Genomic DNA, 2,494 nt, shown 5'->3' with positions numbered 1-2,494 from the left:
CATGGCAGCTGGGTTCTTGAGTGAGAATGCCAAGAGGACCAGGTGGTAGTTGTATTACTTTTCATGATTTAGCCTCAAAAGTCACATAGTATCACTTTCAACATAGTCTAAAGCCCACCCAGATTCGAAAGAAAGAGCCATAAATCTCACCTCTCAATGGGAGGGGTGGCAGGGGCTTGGGAAATGGTAGATCTCAGGGTAAAAATACACTTTTCCATACATGGCTAACCAAGACACACAGTAATAAGAAAAAGCCTGGTACAAACAGTTTGGTCACATTTCCCCTGCTTTCACAAAGAAAAAATATGTAGGGGTGTGTGTGTGTGTGTGTGTGTGTGTGTGTGTGTGTGTGTGTGTGTGTATGTACCTAGAAATTTTCTGGAAATATTGATAAGACATTGTTAACAAAAATTTCCTCCAAAGAATGAGACTGGAAGTCCAAAATAGAAGAAAAGCTCACTTTTCATTGCATATCTTTTTACTGTTTGAACTGTTTTCTATATGCTTGTGCTATTTTCATAATACTAAATAGAATTTTAAAGTGATGAATAGGGATGTTCTGAAATGATTATACACATTTTCCCTTTTTCTCTGTTGAAATCATTAAATTTTTGGAAGCCAACCAAATGATGCCAACAAGAAAAAAGATATTTTTTTATTTTCATTTGAGATGCCAATTTCCATTTTGTACCGACTAGATGACAATTTGGCAACAACTAGCATCAGATTTGCATATGTAAGAAATTCTTTATTTTTCCGTATCATTGGTTACCCATCCCAGCTGCACATCCAAATCACCCAGTGAACTTTAAAAAAAAAAAAAAAAACTGAGATTCCTAGGTCCCTCTTCTGACCTACTAAATCACAAACTCTGAGGTAGACAGCCAGGAATCTGTAACTTAAAGCTCTCCCATGTGACTGATACCATCAACTCAGCCCTGGGTTTTTGAACTTGACTTTGGAAAGAAAACAACTGGTGGGGCCAGGTGTGGTGGCTCATGCCTGTAATCCCAGCACTTAAGGAGGCCGAGGCCAGCAGATGACTTGAGATCAGGAGTTCAAGACCAGCCTGGCCCACATGGTGAAACCCTGTCTCTACTAAAAGTACAAAAATTAGCAAGGCATGGTGGCTCGTGCATATAATACCAGCTACTCAGGAAGCTGAGGCAGGAGAATTGTTTGAAACTGGGAGGTGGAGGTTATAGTGAGCTGAGATTGCGCCACTTCACTCCAGCCTAAGTGACAGGGCAAGACTCTATCTCAAAAAAAAAAAAAAAAAAAAAAAAAAAAAACAACTAGCAGTCCTGCCTCCAGGCATGAAACCACATGGTCTTCAGCCTTGCTGTTCCAAATCACTGTGAGACACAACAGGGACTCCTCTTGGAGGCTACGGGCCCTCCAAGCATGGAAATAAAAGAAAATCTTGAGTTCCTTCAAGGGAAATTCCAGACACCTGGCTAGCCCTGAGAGCAACTTGATATGCAAGAAGGTAATAATAGCTTGAAACAATAGCCAAGGAAGTTAGAGTCACTAGATGTTTGATTCCCTATGGAAACTAAAGGTAACATCCTAACGTGTGTATTACTCTGTTCTCACACTGCTATAAAGAAATAGCTGAGAAGGGGTAATTTATAAAGAAAAGATGTTTAATTGCCCTGTGGTTCCACAGGCTGTACAGGGAAGATAGTGCTGGCATCTGCTCAGCTTCTGGGGTAGCCTCAGGAAACTTACAATCATGGCAGATGGTGAAGGGGGCTGGCACATCATATGACTGGAGCAGGAGGAAGTGGGGAGAGGTGTCACACTCTTTGAAACGACCAGATTTCATGAGAACTCACTATCGTGACAACCAAGGGGGGATGCTGTTAAACCATGAGACAAAACTGCCCCCATGATACAATCACCTCCCACAAGGCCCCACTTTCAGCATTGAGGATTACATTTCAACATGAGATTTGGATGGAGGCACACGGCCAAACCTTATCATTCTGTCCCCGGCCCCTCCCAAAACTCATGTCTTGCCCACTGCCTAGAAAGAGCTGATTTATCAAGACAATGAATTGCAATAGAGAAAGAGTTATTCATGCAGAGCCACCTCTGTGGGAGACTGGAGTTTTATAATCAGTCTCCCTGAGAATTTAGGGATTGAAGTTTTTAACGATAATTTGGCACAGAGGGGCCAGTGAGTTGGGAGTGCTGATTGGTTGGGTTGGAGATGAGTCAAAGGGAATCAAAGCTGTCGTCTTTTGCTGAGTCAGTTTCTAGGTGGGGGCCGCAAGATCAGATGAGCCAGTTTATCAATCTGGGTGGTTCCAGCTGATCTATCAATATCTCAATCACTGATCATAGGTTTTACAATAGTGATGTTATCCCCAGGAGCACTTTGGGGAGGGTCAGAATCTTATAGCCTCCAGCTGTATGATTCTTAAACCATAGTTTCTTATCTTGTAGGTAATTTGTTAGTCTTACAAAGGCAGTCTAGTCCCCAGGCAGG

Source organism: Homo sapiens, chromosome 20 (genome assembly GCF_000001405.40).
Source record: "Homo sapiens chromosome 20, GRCh38.p14 Primary Assembly".
Classification (NCBI taxonomy): Eukaryota; Metazoa; Chordata; class Mammalia; order Primates; family Hominidae; genus Homo; species Homo sapiens.
Note: the sequence above shows the minus strand (reverse complement) of the source record.